The sequence below is a fragment of the Homo sapiens genome, chromosome 12, assembly GCF_000001405.40.
Source record: "Homo sapiens chromosome 12, GRCh38.p14 Primary Assembly".
In the NCBI taxonomy this organism is placed as follows: Eukaryota; Metazoa; Chordata; class Mammalia; order Primates; family Hominidae; genus Homo; species Homo sapiens.
In genome coordinates this window covers 132,551,493-132,572,251 of record NC_000012.12, presented here as the reverse complement: position 1 = coordinate 132,572,251, position 20,759 = coordinate 132,551,493, and the positions used below count along the sequence as shown (strand labels likewise).

General features: G+C 63.9%; 2 protein-coding genes across 21 annotated transcripts in view, besides 5 other annotated features; both read right to left on the bottom strand.

Annotated features, from left to right (window-relative positions):
- FBRSL1 (fibrosin like 1) overlaps positions 1-20,759 on the bottom strand; it is a 95,038-nt gene that overhangs the window by 12,937 nt on the left and 61,342 nt on the right. For 10 of the 20 annotated variants that reach the window (XM_011534812.3, XM_011534803.4, XM_011534808.4 and 7 more), the window contains 5 exons: positions 4,726-4,771; positions 2,011-2,326; positions 1,712-1,917; positions 1,116-1,184; positions 728-945 (listed from right to left, as the gene is read on the bottom strand). In XM_011534812.3, the coding sequence (XP_011533114.1) occupies positions 728-945; positions 1,116-1,184; positions 1,712-1,917; positions 2,011-2,326; positions 4,726-4,771 (855 nt within the window). Of the gene's footprint in view, positions 1-727; positions 946-1,020; positions 1,185-1,711; positions 1,918-2,010; positions 2,327-4,725; positions 4,772-20,759 lie in introns of all 20 variants that reach the window. The other 10 variants (XM_011534807.4, XM_005266176.5, NM_001367871.1 and 7 more) reach the window with 5 other exon arrangements.
- Positions 10,581-10,630: an enhancer, noted in NCBI's record as "active region_7384". NCBI's record gives its function as "activates an Ori minimal core promoter by ATAC-STARR-seq in GM12878 lymphoblastoid cells {active_cell/tissue: GM12878}" and the evidence as "EXISTENCE:reporter gene assay evidence [ECO:0000049][PMID:35858748]".
- Positions 10,761-11,100: an enhancer, noted in NCBI's record as "active region_7383". NCBI's record gives its function as "activates an Ori minimal core promoter by ATAC-STARR-seq in GM12878 lymphoblastoid cells {active_cell/tissue: GM12878}" and the evidence as "EXISTENCE:reporter gene assay evidence [ECO:0000049][PMID:35858748]".
- Positions 11,111-11,180: an enhancer, noted in NCBI's record as "active region_7382". NCBI's record gives its function as "activates an Ori minimal core promoter by ATAC-STARR-seq in GM12878 lymphoblastoid cells {active_cell/tissue: GM12878}" and the evidence as "EXISTENCE:reporter gene assay evidence [ECO:0000049][PMID:35858748]".
- Positions 11,711-11,790: a silencer, noted in NCBI's record as "silent region_5122". NCBI's record gives its function as "represses an Ori minimal core promoter by ATAC-STARR-seq in GM12878 lymphoblastoid cells {active_cell/tissue: GM12878}" and the evidence as "EXISTENCE:reporter gene assay evidence [ECO:0000049][PMID:35858748]".
- Positions 12,061-12,360: a silencer, noted in NCBI's record as "silent region_5121". NCBI's record gives its function as "represses an Ori minimal core promoter by ATAC-STARR-seq in GM12878 lymphoblastoid cells {active_cell/tissue: GM12878}" and the evidence as "EXISTENCE:reporter gene assay evidence [ECO:0000049][PMID:35858748]".
- Positions 17,756-19,950, bottom strand: LOC124903061 (uncharacterized). Its single transcript, XM_047429968.1, has one exon. The coding sequence runs from the start codon at positions 19,855-19,857 to the stop codon at positions 19,096-19,098; it is 762 nt and encodes a 253-aa protein (XP_047285924.1). The 5' UTR covers positions 19,858-19,950; the 3' UTR covers positions 17,756-19,095.

Below are 20,759 nucleotides of genomic sequence, written 5' to 3'. Positions count from 1 at the left end.
CACGACACCGTTGCTGGGCCCCGGGCCCCGCCCACCTGGCCGGGCTGGGCAGTGACAGGACGGCGTTGTGCTTCCTGAGGCTGGCGGCTTCGGCCAGCCGTCCCAGGCTCCTCTAGAGCGCCAGCCCCACGGCTCTGAACTCAGTCTCAGACCAGGGCGGCCCTGCCATTCTAAGGGTCCCCTTGCATGGGGTGGGAACTCGGCCCCCCCAGGCAGTCTGTGTGCCTGGCTGAGGCCTGGGGCGTGAAGCCCTGGCTGCTGGGTCGCGCTGGGGACACACCGGGTTACTGACAAACTGGCCAGTTTCCGAATAAAACTCGAGAGAGTGGAGGGGACTCCAGCCCCCAGCAACTCCCTCCTCAGACCGGGCCTCCGGGGCGGGGAACACGGGAGGCACCCTGAGTCATGGTCCCTGTGCCCTCAGGCCTGTCTGGGCCTCCAGCCCTGGCACTGGGGATCTAGTGCAGGCGTGAGGGTGTCCCATGCACGTGGGCACGGGGTGCCTGCCTAAGTCCAGGACCACTGCCGAGGGTGGGGGCCTCATGGCACAGCTTGGGGTGGGGACACCAGAAGGCACGTTGGGGACCGGACAGACGACAGAGAGGTGCCGCCGGCCCCCCACCTCCTCCTGGGCTGGTGTGTGTGCGAGCGTGTGTCTGTGTGTGCCTGCTGCGTGTCCCCGCCCCACGCCCGCCCCCGCCCCCTGCCAGCACGCGGGCCTACGCACCGGCGGGGGTGCGGCGGGCGGCGTCGGGGGCAGCCCTGCGGGGAAGGGGGCGAATGTGTGTTGGTGCTGGTGTGTGTGTTGGTGCGTGTGCTGGTGTGTGTGCTGGTGCTGATGGAACTCCGCCCGCAGCAGAGCCCCCGGGCCCAGGGAGGCGCCAGGCCGCTCGGCGCTCTGCACCAGAAACCGCGTGTTCAGCTCTTGCCTGAGCAGCTCGTGATCTACAAGAGAAAAAGAGAGAGAGACAGAGAGGCACGTTGGCCGCGGGCTCCCGGCGGGGCGAGGCGGATAGTCACCTGGCACTCCCGGGGTCGGCAGGCCAAGCCGGGGTGGCCGCTCGCCACGTGCGGGCCCAGGGGTGCAGGTAAGAGAGGAGCCTGTGACCAAGTACCAATCAGAATTCCCGAATGAGGCTGGCAATACATGATTGGCTGGCTGAATGAGACCGCCAGGCTGGCATCTAGAGGCAAGAGAGAACACGGTGAGCCCCTCCCCGGGAGCCAGGGTCCAGCCACCCGCAGGCCAGCATCCTGGTCCCATCCCGGGACACGGGGCCGTCCCCAGCCTGGGCCGGGCTGACTCGGAGCCTCAGGAAGCGCCTGGGGGCCGAGGGAGGAAGCCTTCGCGGTCGGGGTTCCACTGGGATGGCGCCTGCTTGATGTGCGGCCCCCTCCTCCCAGGGCTCAGGACCCAGCAGGCTGCGGGGGAGGCCTGGCCCCAGGAGGGGAGGCCCGTGCGCCCGTCTCAGTGTGAACACGCGTCTGTACGTGCATGGGCACGTGTCCTGCCTGTCCCCGCACACAGATGGCCTGTGGCCCAGCAGAGACTCCTGGGGAAAGGCACACCTGGGGGAACCACTCAGAGAGGCGCGCAGGGTCCGCAGAGACCACAGCAGGTGGAGGGCCAGGCTGTGCGCCCCTCCCCGGTGGCCGTGTCCCCGCACCCCCCAACCCCTGCCCTGGGCGAGATTGTGGCCGAGACACCTACCGGCCGGGTGTCCTGGGAGGACCAGGCTGCTGGCCGGCAGCGCCGGGGGCGGGGGCAGTGTCGGGGGTGCGGCAAACATGGCCGCGTGGAGCTGGTGCTGCGCCTGGGACCGGAGCGCCAGGTGTGAGGTAGACAGGTGGGGGCCCGGCCCGTGTGGCGACAGCGACACGTGCTTCCCCAGGCCCAGGGGGGCGCTGCTGCTCCTGCTGCGGGACACGGGGCTCAGTGCCTGCCAGCCCGACCCCTGCAGAGCCCCCATCCTGAGACCACACAGGCCCCGTCCCCCGCGGGGACCCCACCTGAGGCCGTGCAGGCCGTTGGCTGCCGCCTGGCTGTGGCCCGCGAAGGCGCCCAGGGATGCAGGCACGTGTGTCGGGAGCAGGCCGCGGGGCTGCGGGGGTGGCGGCTGCGGGGTGTGGCGGTGCGGGGCGGGGGGTTCCTTCTTCACCAAGGGATTGGCGCGGGAGCCGGGCGGGGGCCCCGGGCAGGGCGCGGCATGGGGCGCGGGGCTGGCAGTGGGCAGGAAGCTCTCGGCGCTGAGCTCGCGGCTGCGCTCCAGGCCTGACACCTTGGGCACCGGCCCGGCCTTGGCCTCCGACTTCTCAAGCGCTGGGCCTGCAGAGAGAGGGTGGCTGCGTTCAGACCAGCAGGGCCTCGTCCCTGCCCCTCCTGTGGCCCAGGGAGCCCTGGTACGTGCCCGGTGCCCAGGCTATGTCTGGGCTCCGGCTATGCCCCCATTTCAGATGAGGAGGCAGGCACGGAGGCCACACAGCTAGCTGGATCTCACCCGAGGCTCCAGGCCCCGCCCGGCGGAGGGAGCTGGCTTGGGAGCCTGGGCCGTGGCCAGGGGTGGGGGTGGGTAGCCCACCTGCCCGAAGACGCATCACTGGCAGGGACAGGACAGGCCCTGCAAGAGTCAGTCCCTGGACAGGGGCTGCTATGACCTCATTTAACAGACAAAACCAAGATACATCAAGGACTTGGCCCAAGAGGGGAGCTGGATTTGAACACGGGAGCTAGGGCCTGTGTACCTAGGCCTCATGTTCACGGCCCCTGGATGTGCCCTCAGCCCAGGGCATGGGTCTGCCCCACCCCAACAGCAGCGCCCACAGCTGTAACCACCTTTTCTTTCTGGAACCCCCTGGTGGAAGGCTTGACCACTTCCTGGAAACTTGGGCAGGGACTGGGTGGGAGGCTTCCCCCTACTGTGACTGCCCGTCACCCGCCACCCTCAGCCCTGCTCCCTGGCCACCCTTCTGCCCACCTAGGCACGTCCCCCGCAGGTCCTGTGGGCCCCTCTGAGCCCCTGGGGCCTGCCCCCCCCACCCCCGCACACCCCAAACCCTCCTTTTCAGGCCCCTTCGGGCAGGTCTCAGATCAAGTCCCCAGGAGTCAGGAGAGGGCAGCGTCCATGTGGTGGAGCTCCTGTTGCCTGGGGTCAGGAGCTGCCACGGTCAGGGGGCCAGTTTCGCAGGAGAAACAAAACAACGTTCCACGTGCCGCATGCCTCCTGTTCACGTCCCCGGCAGACCCTGCTTCCTTCCTGAGGCCTTGGGACAGTGAGCCATGGCCCATGGGGACAGCTGCGGCCGTCCCTGCCCCATGTGACCATGGGGCCTGGTCTTCTGGGGCCTCAAGGAGTTCCTCCCAGGTGAAAACAGGCAGCAGGAAGCAGCCCCATCTTCACTCTTCACCTGGGGCCAGGCCTTCCACAGCAGCCACCACCCAGCGACCACAGAGAGGCTGCGCGGAGGACACAGGAGAGAGGGAGCCCACGGGCACTATCTCCACCGGCTTTCCCAGCTCCCTGGGTCAGCCCCACGGGACCTCTCCTCCTCTCTCCCACATCTCCAAGCCAGCCTTGCATATAGTAAGAGCTGTGATCAGGATGGAAAGAGGCTTGGGCCGCACAGACCTGGACTAGACCCCACGTGCGGGGCCTCCTGTGCCCTTCTAGCACCTCCAGCCCTCACTGGGACATTGTCCGTCCAGATGCGGCAGCAGCCGCGGCAGTGAGCTGAGTATTCAGCAGCCCCGCGTGACACCGTCTGCGAAGCCAGCTGCCTCTCCTACCGGGGCCCGTCCCATGCACGCCCCTTCTGACACCACCCCATCTGCGCCTGCTTTGCTGTGATGCTCTGATGTGAACAGGCTTCCAACTTGAAGGCAGGTGAAGGCCATGCCTGCTGAAGGGCAGTAGGGCCCATCCTTGCCGGCATTGGCAGGGCCTGTCCTGTCCAATCACATCCGGATGAAGCCGTCCCAGCAAAAGGGTGGTTCCAGCTGGAAACCCAGGGAGGCAGGAGCCGAGACCCCGTGGCCCTGCCGGAGATGCTGCCCGCCTAGGCCTTGGTGTGGGAATCCCAGGATCCCAGCGCCAGGGAGGCCCTAAGAAGACGCTGGGGCTATCCCCTCTGGAGAGGGTTGCTGGCCCGTGGACACCCCGCCCCACAGCTCACAGCCACAGGTTACGAAGGCCCCTAAGACGCCGGGGCTACCCCCTCTGGAGAGGGTTGCTGGCCTGTAGACACCCTGTCCCATAGCTCACAGCCACAGGTTTCGAAGGCCTGGCCTGGAACAGCAATCCAGGCCCCTCCACTGCACCACAGAGGCGCGCAGGCAGCAGAGCCAGGGAAGTGAGTCTCAGTCCCGTTTCTCTTTAACTCAGCAGCCACAGGTGATTGTGGTGCTCGTGGCAGGTGGCCCTTCAGTACCGAGCATCTGACCCCACGAACCTGGGGAGGGCCTGAGAGCACACATTCCTAACGGTTCCACTCTGGGAGCCGCTGCTACGAGCGGAGCCCAGGCCCTGCCTAGGGCTCAGTGGCTTCGTCTACTCTCCCCTGCTCCTGGGGGCTTCCCAGCAATCCCAGCACCCTGGTCCCACCCAGCTCTGCACCCCAGGTGCCAAGACCATCTCTCCCCTGACTTCAGGGGGATGTCCTGCCGCCAAGACGCAGGGCGCATTGTGTCTCTTCAGAGGCCCAGGAGCTGGGCCGAGGGGACCCACTTACCTTTATCGGTTCCCGGCGCAAAGAGCTTCTCAGAGCCCACGGATGCCTGGAGAGAGAGAAGGGGGGTCAGGGGCAGTCAGGGTGGTCCTCATCCTCGTGGACCTTGCGCCCAATGCCCACACACAAGTCTGGGTGGTTTTCCAGCAGGGCCAGGCGGGATGTGCCCTTGTGGATGCCCCCGTGTACGAGGTGAACACGCTTAGTCCTGAGCTCCACGCATGTGTATACATGTGCTCACGCTGGGGGCACACAGGCCCCTCTCTGCTCAGAGCAGCAGGCTTCCTAGAGGGGGTCTGAGTGAAGACGGGGTTTGTGGGGGGATCGGGAACCAAGGCTGCTGCTGGCGTGGACTGGGGGAGCGCCGGCATTTGGCAAATCTGCACCCCTCCCAGGAGAACCAGCACCAGTAGCTGTGGGCCCTGCTGGGCCCCCACCCATCAGGCCAGAGGCGGATGATGGAGAGCCCCGGGACACACCTCCTGCTCCCAACCACTGCCCAGCACAGGCGCCCTGGCGAAAGTGAGAGAACCAGGATACCGACCAGGCTGGACATGTGGGTCCGCAAGGCTGCAGGGCACCTCGCTATGCTCCCGGGCCGGCTGAGCTCCAGGCCTGGTGCCCAGCGCCCACAGGACACCGCGCTATGTGCCTGGGGTCGGCCGAGCTCCCAGCACCCACAGGACACTGCATTATGTGCTGGGGACTGGCCAAGCTCTAGGCCTGGTGCCCAGAGCCCACAGGACACCGCGCTATGTGCCTGCGGCCGGCCAAGCTCCCAGCAGCCACAGAATGCTGCGCTATGCTCCCAGGCCGGCCAAGCTCTAGGCCTGGTGCCCAGTGTTGCTGAGAGGCAGCTGAGTGTCCCAGGCTATGTGGGGGAGCTCTCAGAGGGTCAATCGCAGAAATTGCTCAGCCCCACTCCTCCATCTCTTCCAGAGAAACTCGCTCAACCACCTGCCACAAGCAGGTGGCGAGAATGTGGCCGCTGATGGGGAGGGGTGGACGGAGGGCCCCATGCTCTGGGGGACTTCACGGCAGTTTCCAGGAATGAGCTTCATAAGAATGACCTTAAATAGATATTTCCCTCCTAGTTTCTTCTTCTTCTTTTTTTTTTTTTTTTGATTAAACAGCTTCATTGAGTTGTGGATTCAACGTTTCTGTCTATCAAGAATTCACATGTTTAAATCCTCACCCCCAGGTGATGGGATCAGGAGGTGGAAGGTGATGAGGTCATGAGGTCTTGAGTGTGGAGCCTCACGAGCGGCATCAGTGCCTTATAAAGGGCCCCAGAGCCACCTAGCCCCTTCCACCATGTGAGGACGCAGCGGAGAGGCACCCTCTATGGACCAGGAAGCCCTCACAGGGACTCTGCCATGCCTTGACCTGCTTGCGGCCTCCAGCACTGTGAGCTGTGAATGTCTGCTGCAGAACTGGGCCAGAGCAGCCCGCACGGACTAAGACTTGAGATGTAAATCACATACCATCCAACTCACCGTCTAACGCTTACAATTCACTAGCGTTTAGTATGTTCACAGTGATGCACCTGTCACCACGATCCATTACAGAACATTATCATCACCCCAAAAAGAAACCCTGACTCCTAACCGTCACCCCCAACCCTGGGAAACCACAAATCTGTCTGTCTCTACAGAGCCGTCTTTTCCGAACTTCCATGTGAACACTGTCAGGCGGCACGGACCTACTGTGATTGGCTTCTCTCACTGCACGGCTTTTGACGTTCACCCACACTGCAGTGTGTACCCTGGAGAGATGGGGGACACTCTGTGTGTGGAGGAAGCAACTGCAAAGAAGGAGTGTTATGTGGATCTGGACAATGTGCCTGTGCTTGGGCACGTACACACACTCAGGCACGTACACACACTCGGGTACACGTACATGGGCACAAACTCAAGTACGTACACACAGGCACATACACACACTCGGGTACGTACACACACGGATACATGAACATGGGCACACTCGGGTACGTGTACATGAGCACACTCGGGTACGTGTACATGAGGACAGTTGGGTACGTGTACGTGGGCACACTCGGGTTCACGTACAGGGACACACACATTCTCGGGTGTGTGTACCTGGGTGGCAGTGTGTGCATGGATGTTTGTTTACATGAGCATCACATGTGTGTTTACGTAGGTGCCCGCGTGTCGGCGTCTATGTTGGTGAAATTGTAGAATGTGTCCACCAGGAGAGAGCAGTCCCCTCTGGGAATGGCGGGGGTGGAGGGCACAAGAGACTAGGCTTAAACTCATACTTTTAAGTTTGTATAAAGGAGACTGCATTCTGGTAACACTTGTGTAACTGAAATGCAACAACGACAAACATAATCAACAGCTTCACTGCTACCAGGGAGGGGCCGGCCAGGCTTGCCTAGTGAGCACAGCTGTGAGAGACCAGGGCGGGGGGCATCTGACTCGGAGGCTGGGTGCTGGGAGATGGGGGTTCTGTGCTTGTCTGTCCCCCTGATCTGTAACACGACCTGTGACTCTTAGGGTTAAAACGATAAAAAGGGACTTAGGAATTTGGCTGGTGAAGCGTGCGAGACCCACAGCTCTCCAACCTACTAAAACCTAGGAGGGCGGCCGGCCGCGGCTCACGCCTGAAATCCCAGCACTGCGGGAGGCCGAGGCCGGCGGATCACGAGGTCAGCAGATCGAGACCATCCTGGCCAACACGGTGAAACCCCGTCTCTACTAAAAATACAAAAAATTAGCCGGGCGTGGTGGCGGGCGCCTGTAGTCCCAGCTACTCGGGAGGCCGAGGAGGGCGGATCACGAGGTCAGGAGATCGAGACCATCCTGGCTAACACGGTGAAACCCCGTCTCTACTAAAAATACAAAAAATTAGCCGGGCGTGGTGGCGGGCGCCTGTAGTCCCAGCTACTCGGGAGGCTGAGGCAGGAGAATGGCGTGAACCCGGGAGGCGGAGCTTGCAGTGAGCTGAGATCGTACCACTGGACTCCAGCCTGGGCGACAGAGCGAGACTCCGTCTCAAAAAAAAAAACCTTGGAGGGCGAGGGCAGGGGCCCTCCCAGAGCCAGGAGGCTCACCAGGCGTAGCCAGCCCAGAGGGGCACTGGTGCTGGGAAGAGACCTGCTGTCCCCATGCCACAGCACACGTTTCCTATCACCCCAACCAAAATCCCAAGCAGGGATCTGGAACACGTGGATTACTAGGTCCTCACTGTGGGAGCTGCTTCCCCTGAATCCCACGTGGCCCAGCCAAGGGAGCTGGGCTGCTGTTCAGGGCAGAAGGGAGGCGGCTCAGGGTCCACCGGGGCCTGGTGTGGGGCTGGGGTGAAGCCAGGCCCAGCTGCCCAGAGGGACACCCGTGTCCAGCAACTGGCAGACGGATCAACAGTGAGCGCGTCTGCCTCAGCCACATATGGAATTGCTGTCGGCACGCGCTCTGTGAGCCTCAGAAACATCACAGGAGCCAAAGCCAGACCACAAAGAGCACGCAGCCGTGTGACCGTGAGCGCGGCCCCAGCCACAGCAGCCGAGGGGTGCAGGGGGTGCACAGGAGCTCAGGGGTTCGGGGCGACGGGGGTGGGTGTACAGACGTAGGTATGTGTCAGCTGGAGGGGTGCAGGGGGTGCACAGGTGCTCGGGGGTTCAGGGGCGACGGGAGTGAGTGTACAGTCGTAGGTATGTGTCAGCCGGAGGGGTGCAGGGGGTGCACACAAGCTCGGGGGTTCAGGGGCGACGGGGGTGAGTGTACAGTCGTAGGTATGTGTCAGCCGGAGGGGTGCAGGGGGTGCACAGGAGCTCGGGGGTTCAGGGGCGACGGGGGTGGGTATACAGTCGTAGGTATGTGTCAAAAAGCAAACCACACACTTAAAATAGCTGCATTTACTGCAAAAATAAATAGGTGAATTTTACTGCCAGTAAATGACAGCATTGGAAACCAACAAAAAGATGTGACACGATGCTGGGACAGACGGACAGGCAAACGGACAGACGGAAGGAGATCCAAGAGCGCAATGAGAAGCCCCAGAGTTCCCACAGATGCCGCGACGGACAGAGATCCACAGAACCGAATGAGAAACCCCAGACATGGTGCAGGCTGTGGGGGCCAGGTGTGGGGTGCAGGCTGTGGGGACCAGATGTGGGGTGCAGGCTGTGGGGGCCAGGCGTGGGGTACGGGCTGGGGGGCCAGATGTGAGGTGCAGGCTGTGGGGGCCAGGCATGGGGTACGGGCTGGGGGGCCAGACGTGGGGGCCAGACATGGGATGCAGGCTGTGGGGGCCAGGCGTGGGGTGCAGGCTGTGGGGGCCAGGCGTGGGGTGCAGGCTGTGGGGGCCAGGCGTGGGGTGCAGGCTGTGGGGGCCAGGCGTGGGGTGCAGGCTGTGGGGGCCAGGCGTGGGGTGCAGGCTGTGGGGGCCAGGCGTGGGGTGCAGGCTGTGGGGGCCAGGCGTGGGGTGCAGGCTGTGGGGGCCAGGCGTGGGGTGCAGGCTGTGGGGGCCAGGCGTGGGGTGCAGGCTGTGGGGGCCAGGTGTGGGGTGCAGGCTGTGGGGGCCAGGTGTGGCGTAGGTCCTTCAGAGCAAGCTCCTGTTTCACCTCTTATCTGAAAATAATTCCAGACAGATCGCAAACATAGAAGTGAAAAACCATCAACGTATCAGAGAAGACCAGGTGTGGATTCCACCTTCTTGCTGGAATGGGAAGCCCTTCCTAGTCACGTCGCAAGGGCCTGAACCACAGAGAAGAGCAGCAGGTCCATGCCTGTAAGATGGCAAGAGCCGAGGCGGGCCTGCCACACCCACACGCGCCGGAAGGGCCCCTGCACTGGAGGAAGGTGGGCCCCTCGGAAAGGAGCAGCGGTTGGGCCCCGCACGTTCGTGTGTTAAAGGGCTGCGGTGCAGCTGGTGGGAAGGGATGCTGAGCTCCTGGCACTGACGCTACTTGGTCTGCTCACCCTGTGCGGTCCCCGGGGTCGGGGTCCTGCAGCCCAGGCTTCTGCAGGGTGAAACACCAACTCTATGTCCAGCGCCCCCAGCCACCAACCCCCAGGCAGTGACGTAGGACATCCTTCTGAGGAGGTTGTTTCTGCTCAGACCCAGCTCAACCACACAGGGGCCGGGTCGGATGGAAGCTAGGAGACCCCGGCACCCCAGAAAGGGACCCTCCCAGCCCCAGTCCAGGGCCCCGATGACCCTCTCCCTCCCCCAGCCTTGCGGCCACCACCCCTAGAATCCTGGCTTGTTACAAAGAAAGAAGGACAGGAACCTCTCACCCCTGGGAAGCCAGGGGGCCTGGAGGTTGGGGCATGTGGCTTTCTCCTCTCTGCTCGCCTCAACATCATCCCCCAGAAGTGTGGCTCCCATGGGGTCCGCCTCCACCTCCCTGCCCCGTCCAGCCACTGCCGGTGACCCAGGCTACGCAGTGACCATCCCAGCATCGGAAACAGGAAGGACTCCGAGAGAAACAGGAGGAATAGTGAAGGGGCCTGTGCAGGTGGGCAGGGAGGAGTCCAGACCAGCCTTTGGGCCTCCAGGGGGCACTGCGGCTCCCCAGAAAGGCCTCGGCACCTCCTTGGCCGTGCCCATCCCCCAGCAGTGCCAGCACCAAGTGCTCCCTTGGGCCAGGCTCCCAAATCTGGGCCCCTCACACAGCAAGGATGGGGATCCAGTGCTGCTCCATGCCAGCCATGAACCAGGCACTGAACACCCAGGCCTGCCACAGACCCCTGGGGTCTCTCCTGGGCCTGCACCATCCTCCTGGGAGGACTTCTGGACCCCTCATCTGAGGGGCTGCACTGTCTCTGGCACGCACGCGGGCCCTCTTCTTGGCTGGCGTCCCGGGTTTGAGTGGCCTCTTCGCCAGGTGGCCCACCTGTTAACTGCCCCCTCTGTGGTTGGGGCAGCAGGCCCCACCACGCCGCCAGGACTCTCCAGGGGCCAGGAAGGAGGCGGGTGCTGAGGCCTCCCAGGTGGGCAGAGGGAGGAGAAGCCAGCTTAGCCCGCAGTTTGACGGCCAACCCAAAAGGCAGACCCCAAAGCACAGCCCCCAAAGCCGGCCCTCGTCTCTAGGGTAACCACAGGTTGGAGCCCTTCTGGGGCTCTGCTGCCCTCCCCTTCACTGGGACCCAAACACTCTAGTGGGTTCCGCTCCACGTCCCAGGTTCGAACACAAGCTCCCCAGGGCCACAAGGGGGCGCCCCAGACACCAGCGAAGCCAAGAGGGCTGCAAGGAAGGGGAGGGTCTTCCGCACGGGCCGCGCGGCTGGGGCCATCCAGCACCCATTCTGGTCACGCCACAGTGGGCCCTACACTTAGCAGACGAGTTTGCTCAGGGAGGCTGAGAATGGGTGCTCCAGGGGTCCTCGGCCCTAGCAGAGGCCCCGGAGGCAGGTGGCCTCCACCTCACAGTGAGAACCTGAACACCTGGCCAGGTGCAGCCACGCCCATCCGGGAGGGCTGAGAGCAGAACAGGGGCCGGCCCTCTGGGGGCCTGGCCCAGGCTCCAACCCCTTCCTAGACCACACACAGCAGCTGCACCTTCTGGGGCTCGTTCCTCCACGCGGTCCCTCAGCTCTTTCCCTTCTAGGACAGGGCTTCTGGCAGTGGCCAGATGACCCAAATGGGGTGGCAGCCCCAGGGGCCACCAGACCCGCTTAACTTCTCGGCCATGGTCTGCAGGGACGTGACCCAGGCACGAGCAGCCGCCTCTGCCTCCTAGCCCGCGTGGGGTAGAGGATCACTCAAGCCCAGGGTACAGGTGGGAGGACTCCGGGTCCGCAGGCTCAGGGTCCCTGCGAAGAGGCAGCGGGGGCGCCCGGGCAAGCCTCAGCCCCCGCGAGGTGCACAATCCCGGCGGCGGGCGGAGGTCAGGGCGCGCTTTGTCTGCGAGGACCCGACCCGCGGAGCAGCCTCGGCCAGACACGCGGCGCAGCCTGGGCCAGCCGCGCCCCGCCCCAGACAAAGAACTCCAACTCGGGGCAGGTGAGCGCGGCGCCGGGAACCCGGGTGGCCGATTCCGCACCTGGGCGCAGACAAAGGCGCGCGCCACCCACAACGCTCGGCCCCGCCTCCACCCCCGGACCCCGGGTGCCCTGACCCGGGCCTGGGACCCTCGGCCGCGCCGCACCCCCGCCCGCCCGCCGCCACGTGCGCCCCCGGGAGGACGCGGTCTCCGCGCTTGGCTCCGGGAGAGGCGGTGTGGGCAGAAGGCCCGGAGATCTCGGGCGTCCCGCTCTTCTGGGGGGGCGGTCGCTCCCCCTCCCCTGTCCCCCCAAAGTCCCAATTCCCTCTCTGGAGTCCGCAGCGCGCACTCACCTCGCCGGCGCCCCAGGCAGTCGCCCCTAGTCCCGGGGCCGGAGCCGGGCTGCATGGACGCGGGCGTGGAGCGCGAGCCCCGGGTGGCCCTGGCCCGTCCAGGCGACCCCTCTCCCCGCGTGCCCTGCTCAGCCGGAGCTCGGGCCGGGGACGCGCATGTCCGCCGCGCCGGCTCTGCGCGCTCTGGGCGGCGCTCGGTGCGCTCTGGGCTCCCGGGCGGACGTCGGGCGCGGCGCGGGCCCCGAGGCGGCGGGCGCGGAGCTGGGCGCGCGGGAGGCGGGAGCGCGGGCGGGGCGGGGGCGGGGCGCGGGCAGACCCGACTAATCCAGCCCCGAGGCGCCGATCCACCCGCGCCCGCCGCCGGCCCGGGGTCCGAACGCGCTGCCTCCGATCACGGCCACCCGGGGAAAGGCGCGCAGCGCCGGCCTCACTGAGCGCTGTGTGGGCGCTGCTCCTCTGGTCCTCACAACAAGAAGTTACGGACACCTGCCACCCCGCTCCCAGAAGGGGAAACTGAGTCAGAAAGGGCGACAGCCGGGCGCGGTGGCCGGCGCCTGAAACAGCACTTTGGGAGGCCGAGGTGGGCGGATCACTTGAGCCCAGGAGTTCGAGACCAGCCTGGCCAACATAGGAAGACCCCCCACCCCCGCCCGTCTCTACGAAATAAAAAAATTAGCCGGAGGTGGCGGCACGCGCCTGTGGCCCCAGCTACTGGGGAGGCTGAGGTGGGAGGATCAACTGAGCCCGGGAGGTGGAGGCTGCAGTGAGCCGAGATTGCACCACTGCACTTCAGCGTAGGTGACAGAGCGAGACAAGGTCTCAAAAAAAGGAAAAAAGAGCGACCTCATTGCCACTGTGGAGAGTTGGGACCTGAAAGGAGGAGCCCTTCCCCCACCCGTCCGCTGCAAGCCCCGCCCTCCCTGGGCCTCGGTTTCTCCCTCTGTGAAACGGGGGTGCAAAGTCGGAGACAGCTCCGAGCAGCTGCTGTAGCTGCAAACGGCTGTGCAGCGCAGCCCCCAAGACCACCGCCCTGAACCCCGTGATTTTACACTTGAGGTGGCCGGGAGGGACAGGAAGCACCTGGCTCTCCCTTACGGTGGGGCGCTAGAACTCGGATCGAGGCCCAGCCACGGCTTCCTGCAAAGGCTGCTTATGTGCGCCTGACCGCACCAGACGCCTGGGCGGGACCCTTCCATCCCAGCGCCCACTCAGGTGGAAAACCAGGACACCAACTGCGAACTCAAACGCGATGAGTAAGGGAGGGAGGGCGCAGCTCTGGACCCGGCAGTCGGGAAGTGTTTAAGGACGGGTCCTCTCCAAGCTGCTGCGTGGCTGGCAGCACACAGGGAGGCCGGCTCTGGTGCGGCCAGGGACAGAGGGCTTGGGCTCCAGTTTCGGGACTGAGGTGGGAGCTGTGGCCACGTTTCTATTTCTGGGCTTGGAAGGCCTGGCCCCGGGCAGGGCCTATCCATGGCGGAGCCCGCAGCCATTCAAACCGCGGGAGCAGCTCCCACACGGGTTCGATGGAGCCCTCTGCAAGCTGGACCAGCACTTTCTGCTCCCAAAGGCGCCAACGTTCGCAGGATGCCTCCAACGGTATAGAAGGAATCACCAAGGTCGGCCTCAGCCAGGGAGTTCCAGCCCTCAGGTTCTATTTGAACTACTTACCAAATACACGTACTCCCTTTACCAACAAGTCGCCCCCAAAGCCCTGCTGTTTCCTGCCATGAAAACGGCACGCGCTTGCGTCCATGCACACACACTGTGTCCACATAGGCACTTCCGGGCGCACTGCATGCCGCAAGCCACAGGGCCCTGAAGCCTGTACTCTGAGGACTTGGATAAGCCACCACTCGTCTCACCGACGAGAAAACAGACGTGCTGCTGGCGTGGCTGCTCTGTGGCAGAGCTGGGCTGGGCTGAGCCGGCAGGCTGGCCGCAGGGCTCATGGCTCAGCAGGGACACTCCCCTGGGAAGGTGGTGGGCCACTCCTGAGATGGGGATGGGGCCGCTCCATTTGAAATGCGTGGAGCCCTCAGGGATAAGTCAGGGTTAAGGTCAGGCCCAGGGTGCTGGCCTGGGCAAAGCCAGCCAGGAGGGGCCGTGAGGACAAAGGCCGTGAAGGGGCCCTGTGACGAGGTCATTTCTGTCCATGGGGGGTCCAGATGGTGAGGCCCACAGAGAGGGAACGGGCGGGGGGAGGGGAGGAGAGAAGACAGACTCAGGCAGAACCCTAGCTCAGCCCCTTCCTGCGTGCCTGGCCCTGGGAGGATGCCATCCCCAGTCCCCTCTTCCAGGCCCTGCTCTGGGGACTCGGCACAGATGGATCCAGTGCATCCTCAGCCCCCTGAGAAGCTGTGCTGCCATCAGCTCCTTCTCTGGGTACAGGGCACGGGAAGCGGCTGCCCAGCAGGCCTCGGTCCCGCCAAGCTGTGCCCACTCTCCCTGCTGACTGGAGACCCCAGGGGGCTGGGGAGTTGGGGGAGCAGGAAGAAGGAATTGAGGGGCAGCAACTGGCCAGCTCCAATTGGGCTACGGCCAGTCTCAATGTGGCCGGCTCCTCTCTTGGGACCTCACCACTGGAATCACAGGAGAAGCCATCTTCCTGCCACAAACGAGGCTTCCAACCCCACTTTCTAACCTCAGTCCTGAGGCCGCCTTCAGCACTGACCATCCTGGAACAGGCAGAGATCCTGGCCTGGGTCAACGGGGCCGAAAACCCAGCCCCGAGCCCCGAGCCCCGCCCCACAGCCCTGCGCCCCAGTTTGGGGGTGAAACTAGACTCAGAACCAGGGGCAGGTCTGTGTTTTGTTTAGAAAGGAGAGTAGCTCTGATATGAAAGATGTAGTGAGGTTAGAAGTCTAGAAGGAAGCGGAGTGGGAATAGATTATCCGGGGGAAGAAAGGCATTCACCGGAGAGCAGGCTGATATTAAGTATCAGGCTTCCAGGCCAAATATACATAATCCAGTTAGGGACTTGACGGTGGTGTTCAGAGGCACATTTATCCAGAGCTTACGGTTCAGAAACCAACACTGTAACTGCGTCTGCCATCGTTACGCAGCGGGTGGCCAGGGGGTGCCATCATGGGAAGGCATGGGAAGGTGCTGGAGGCCCCAACCATTAACCAGGAGTGCAGAGCACACAGGGTCCTCTCAGCCATGCTGCCCCAGCCACCCCAGGACACCGGATCGCCCTGGAAACCACCCTGGGGGGCACCCAACCTCCATTCGGCCATGGTTAGCCGAGCGCTGGGGCCAGGAGACCACAAGACTGCTTCCTCAAGGCTGCCACTCCGCGGGGCACGTGTCCTTGAATTGGGCCGTGTCCTCTCACGCCTGGAGAGGAACCTCCCACGGGACGGGGGTTTGGGGGGCAGCACAAGGGCCTGAAGAAGAGCGTCCCACAGGACAGGGGTGGGTGGAGGGGGGTGCAGCACGAAGGCCTGGAGAGGAGCGTCCCACAGGACAGGGGTTGGGGTGCAGCACGAAGGCCTGAAGAAGAGCGTCCCACAGGACAGGGGTTGGAGGCAGCATGAAGGCCTGGAGAGGAGCGTCCCACAGGACAGGGGTTGGAGGCAGCATGAAGGCCTGGAGAGGAGCGTCCCACAGGAGGGGGGTGGGTGGCGGGGGCAGCAGGAAGGCCTGGAGAGGAGCGTCCCACAGGACAGGGGTGGGTGGAGGGGGGTGCAGCACGAAGGCCTGGAGAGGAGCGTCCCACAGGACAGGGGTTGGGGTGCAGCACGAAGGCCTGGAGAGGAGCGTCCCACAGGACGAACACTCAGACGCACCCAGCAGGCTTGGGCCTTGAGTCGTGGCGTGGGGGGTAGGGCCTGCGCCTGCTGTTGCCCGGCCTGTGTAGGCCACAGCCACGCTGGCAGTGTGGCTTTGCCATGGAACGACTCTGAGGTTCTGTCTGTCGCAGAGGTGTGCACTCTCTGAGCAAGGCTGTGGTGCATAGGTGAGGGGTAGGCCAGACCCCCAAGGCCTGAGGGCAGCATCAGGGGGAGCCCGGAGAAGCGTGTGTTCACCATCTCCACCCGGAATGTCGGGAGAAAAGCAAAAGCCAGAACCACCTATAGGGATGTTCAGATGCTGCTCAGCATCCCTGGAGGCTGCCGGCCTGGAAATGCAAATCCTAGCGAATTTCAGCTCCCAGGGAAAGTGCAGAAGGCACCGGAACTTCGCGGAAACACAGAAACCCAGGGAAAGCCTCTGAGAAGAGAGGACCCCAGGGGCTGGGGGAAGAGCCCAGGGATGCTGTGCCCGAGGCCCTGGATGGCAGCGCCTCCTGGAACCCCGAGGCCACAACCGGCCCTGAAGGCTGGTACACAGGCACGAGTGCCTGCGGGGAGAAAGGTGGGGCCGCCTGCAGGCCCCAAGCCCACACCCATCCTGACCCTCAGATGGGGCCCTCCCAGGTTATCCAGGTGGACCTAAATCCGAGGACTGGCGTCATTTTGAGGAGAAGAGACACAAAGACACACACACAGGAGGGGCCATGTGAGGACGGACAGGGGCAGAGATAGGAGCAATGCAACCACCAGCCAGGGATGCCGGAGTCAGCAGGAGTGGGAAGAGGCAGGAAGGATCCTCCTCTGGGGCCTCTGGAGGGAGCATGAACCCAACACCATGATGCCAGACTTGTGGGTGTGGCCCCCACGCTCACGCTCGGGTGAGGCGGCTACCGTGGCCCCCACGCTCACGCTCGGGTGGGGCGGCTACCGTGGAGGCCACGCTCACGCTCGGGTGGGGCGGCTACCGTGGAGGCCACGCTCACGCTCCGGTGGCGCAGCTACCGTGGAGGCCATGCTCACGCTCGGGTGGGGCGGCTACCGTGGAGGCCACGCTCACGCTCGGGTGGGGCGGCTACCGTGGAGGCCACGCTCACGCTCGGGTGGGGCGGCTACCGTGGAGGCCACGGGACACCAGGGCCCCATGCTGCCTGCCAGAGAAAGCCGTGACCCCCCTCCAGAGATACACCACAGCTACACTCCCACCCGAGGGAGAGCTGTGCCCAGCACAGGTTTAACGTTCGTGAAATATTAAATCACAGGAAACACGTACCTCCCCCAAATGCATTGAATTCAGCCATCCCCACAGCCGTCCTTGGCAGGCGCTACTCCATTTTACAGGCAAGGAAACCAGGGCTCAGAAGGTCGTCTGCGGTGGAGGTCGCCCCCAGCAGGGGGCAGGATGGCGCCAAAGGCCACACAAGCTTGTCTTCAGAATGTCTGGTTTCCGATTTCGAGATATAGTTCCAACCGCACATTTTTTTTGTTTTTTGGAGACAGAGTCTCACTTTGTCGCCCAGGCTGGAGTGCAATGGCGCGATCTCAGCTCACTGCAGCCTCCACCTCCGGGGTTCAGGTGACCATCCCTCCTCAGCCTCTTGAGTAGCTGGGATTATAGGCGCACACCACCACAGCCAGCTAATTTTGTATTTTTTGTAGAGACGGGGTTTTGCCACGTTGGCCAGGCTGGTCTTGAACTCCTGACCTCAGGTGATCCACCCGCTTGGCCTCCTAAAGTGCTGGGATTAAAGGCGCCTGCCACCACGCCCAGCTAATTTTTATATTTTTAGTAGAGACGGGGTTTTGCTGTGTTGGCCAGGCTGGTCTTGAACTCCTGACCTCAAGTGATCTGCCCGCCTCAGCCTCCCAAAGTGCTGGGATTACAGGCATGAGTCACCGCAACTGGCCCAATTGCACATTTTAGAAAAGCATTAAGATGCATATTTAACATCAATTAAGTTACATTTATTTAAACATACTCATCAAAACCCACCTCATGAAACATCCTTTCTGTGACACCCTGTTCTGTTCCAAATCCACTCTGGGCTGCTGTTTTCAGACCCCAGTTTCTGCCGGTGCCCTGCAGTGACGCCCCCAGCTGGGCCTCCTGAGGGTGCAGGTTGCCCTCGAGGCTTCCGAGGCAGGGGCGGCACCTCCTCCAAGTGCCGGGGGTGAGGGCCTGAATGGGGGGCCCTTGTTGCTGCTCCCTGCCACTGCCCAGAGTCCTCCGGTAACTGCTGACCCCTCCCAAGGCGGTGAGGCCCTTACCGACGCTTGAGGGTCTGACGCCCGCTGCAGTGTTCGTGGGACCCCCGAGGTGCCCCGTGGCGACCGATGGCTCTGAGCCCCTTCTCTGGACTTCTGGGCTTCCAGTGCATCCTAAATCTTCCTTTGCTGTGACGGGGACATCACGGGGCCCTCAGGACGATCCAGGCTCTGTTCTTGGAGCCCTGTGAGCGAGGCTAGGCCCGTGGAGCGGAGCAGCTGCCCAGGTACAGCCAAGTGGGGCCTCTGAGGCTGGGAAAGGCAGGACACCAATTCCCCTGAGGTCGGTACCTTGACTTCAGCCTGGTGAGACCCATCCTGGACCTCCAGCTCCACTGCTGCCATCAGCTCGTGCCGTTTTGAGTGACTGTGTTTACGGCGACTTGTTACAGCAGCTGTGGGACGCTGAGACCCCCCTCGCACTCCCATTGCCCCGAGTCTCTGATGCCACTGCCTCAGCCAGGCCCCGCTTCTGCTGGGACCAGTGCAGAGAAGCCTCACTGGCTATTGGGCCTTTGATCTGAGGACCCGGGCGCTTGCTCCGTGGTGGTCATGATCTCGGTCCTCAAAGGGACCGACACGTCTGCACCTTGTGCCGGTGCCCTCGGCCCCTCCGCCTGGCTCCAGTGAAGCATGAGTGCCAGCTCAGGGTGGGGTGCTGTCCCTTCCTGTCCCCAGCAGGCCCCCACCAAACGCCGAGTTCTACCACGTGGGACCCAGGCAAGCAGGGCCCCGCAGCCTGCCACACAAGGAGCGAGATGGCCTGTCTCGGGGACCCAACCACCCAAGGCCCCCACGTGCCACTGAGCCAGCCCTCTCAAGGCCCTTCTGGGCTCAGCAGTCCCAGGTCAAAGTGCAGGCTCAGGAAGGAGGGTGGCGGCTTCGGAACCCCACACACCCTGTGAGGTCACCCCACGGTCACCCGGTGTGGGCAGGGTCTGTGTCCAGCAAAGGGAGTCCTGGCCCACGTTCCCCAGAGACGGTGGCACCTGGGACGCCGCTCCCTGCACTTTTGTCCCTAGGGAAGAATGGATGGGCCTCCAAAGCCCCCAGGAAGATGCTCCCAGAAGTGGGCTGGGGTGGGTGGGGGGTGTGAGTCACACACAGAGGAAGGCCTCCGTGAGCCACAGACACGCAGCAACCCTTCCTCAGAAGGTGCCTGGCCTGCCGGCGGCCAGATACAACAAAGGCGCAGCCTGGGCCGCTGGCTGGACAGAACAAAGGCGCGGCCCGCACACTGGACTGCTGTTGAAATTTCCCAGGACCCCACGGAGGCCCAGCAACTGCGGGGTGAGCGCCCACGGCAGGGGCCTCCAGCCTGTCCAGCCGTCCATCCGTCCTTCTGTCTGTCCTGCGGGGTGAGTGTCCACGGCAGGGGCCTCCAGCCTGTCCAGCCGTCCATCCGTCCTTCTGTCTGTCCTGCGGGGTGAGTGTCCACGGCAGGGGCCTCCGGCCCGTCCAGCCGTCCATCCGTCCTTCTGTCTGTCGCACGGGGTGAGTGCCCCATGGAAGGGGCCTCCAGCCTGTCCAGCCGTCCATCCGTCCTTCTGTCTGTCCCGCGGGGTGAGTGCCCATGGCAGGGGCCTCCAGCCTGTCCAGCTGTCCATCCATCCTTTGTCTGTCCCGTGGGGTGAGTGCCCCATAGCAGGGGCCTCCAGCCTGTCCAGCCATCCATCCGCCCTTCTGTCCATCCTGCGGGGTGAGTGCCCCAAGGCAGGGGCCTCCAGCCTGTCCAACCGTCCATCCATCCTTCTGTCTGTCCCACGGGGTGAGTGCCCATGGCAGGGGCCTCCAGCCTGTCCAGCCGTCCGTCCGTCCCTCTGGCTGTCGTGCTGGTAGTGCCTGAACTCACAGTTCCCAAGAACAAGAACCTACGAACTTCAGTGACGAAAAGGCAGAGGTTCAGAGAGGACCCAGTCGGGCACAGCGCCCCACTGGAAGAAGGGTCTGCTGGGGAGGGGCTGGGTGTGGAGGACTGGCTGGCCTCCAGCTCTCTGGGGACCGTGCTTGGGGCAGTGGGCAGTTCTCTCCTCTGCCCAGGCCCCACTGTGGCCCCATTTTGCAGACAGAACATGGAGGCTGTGGATGGTGGGCTGCCTGCGGGGTCGGCCCCACGCCATGTCTGACCTCATGCCACTGTCCCCCAGCCCTGCCCCTTCCAGGCCGGTGCTCTTGGCTGAGGCCCGGCACTGGGGGTGCTTCCTGATGGGCTTCCACAGACGGGCCAGACAGCCATCCCTGGAGGTGGCCGTGGCAGCCCCCGGCAGCAGGAGGAGCGAGGCCACCACCACCTGGCGGCTGCCTATGGAGTCCCATATCGCTCTTCACCCCACACTTTTCCAAGGAAAAAGTGGTTAGACACAAACCGAAGACTTGCGAAGGGGCCATCTGGCAGTGCCCGAGCCTCCCGTCAGCTGCCAAGGAGCCTCCTGCCAAGGGCCAGGGGAGGGGGCGGCTGGGCGGGCACAGTGTGAGGGAGGTGGTGGAGAGGTGTCTCGGTCAGTCTGTTCACGTGGAGGAGGGCTGTCCCAAAGTCTCCACCTTGATTGGCAGGAGAGCCCAGGGTGAGTCCCCAAGGGGTGGCTGGCCAGGTGGGAGCTGGCACCCCAAACCAAGCTCAAACCCGCAGGTGTGGGATGAGATGTGAAGTGCACTGGCCTGAGACATGCGCCCGCGCCCTCC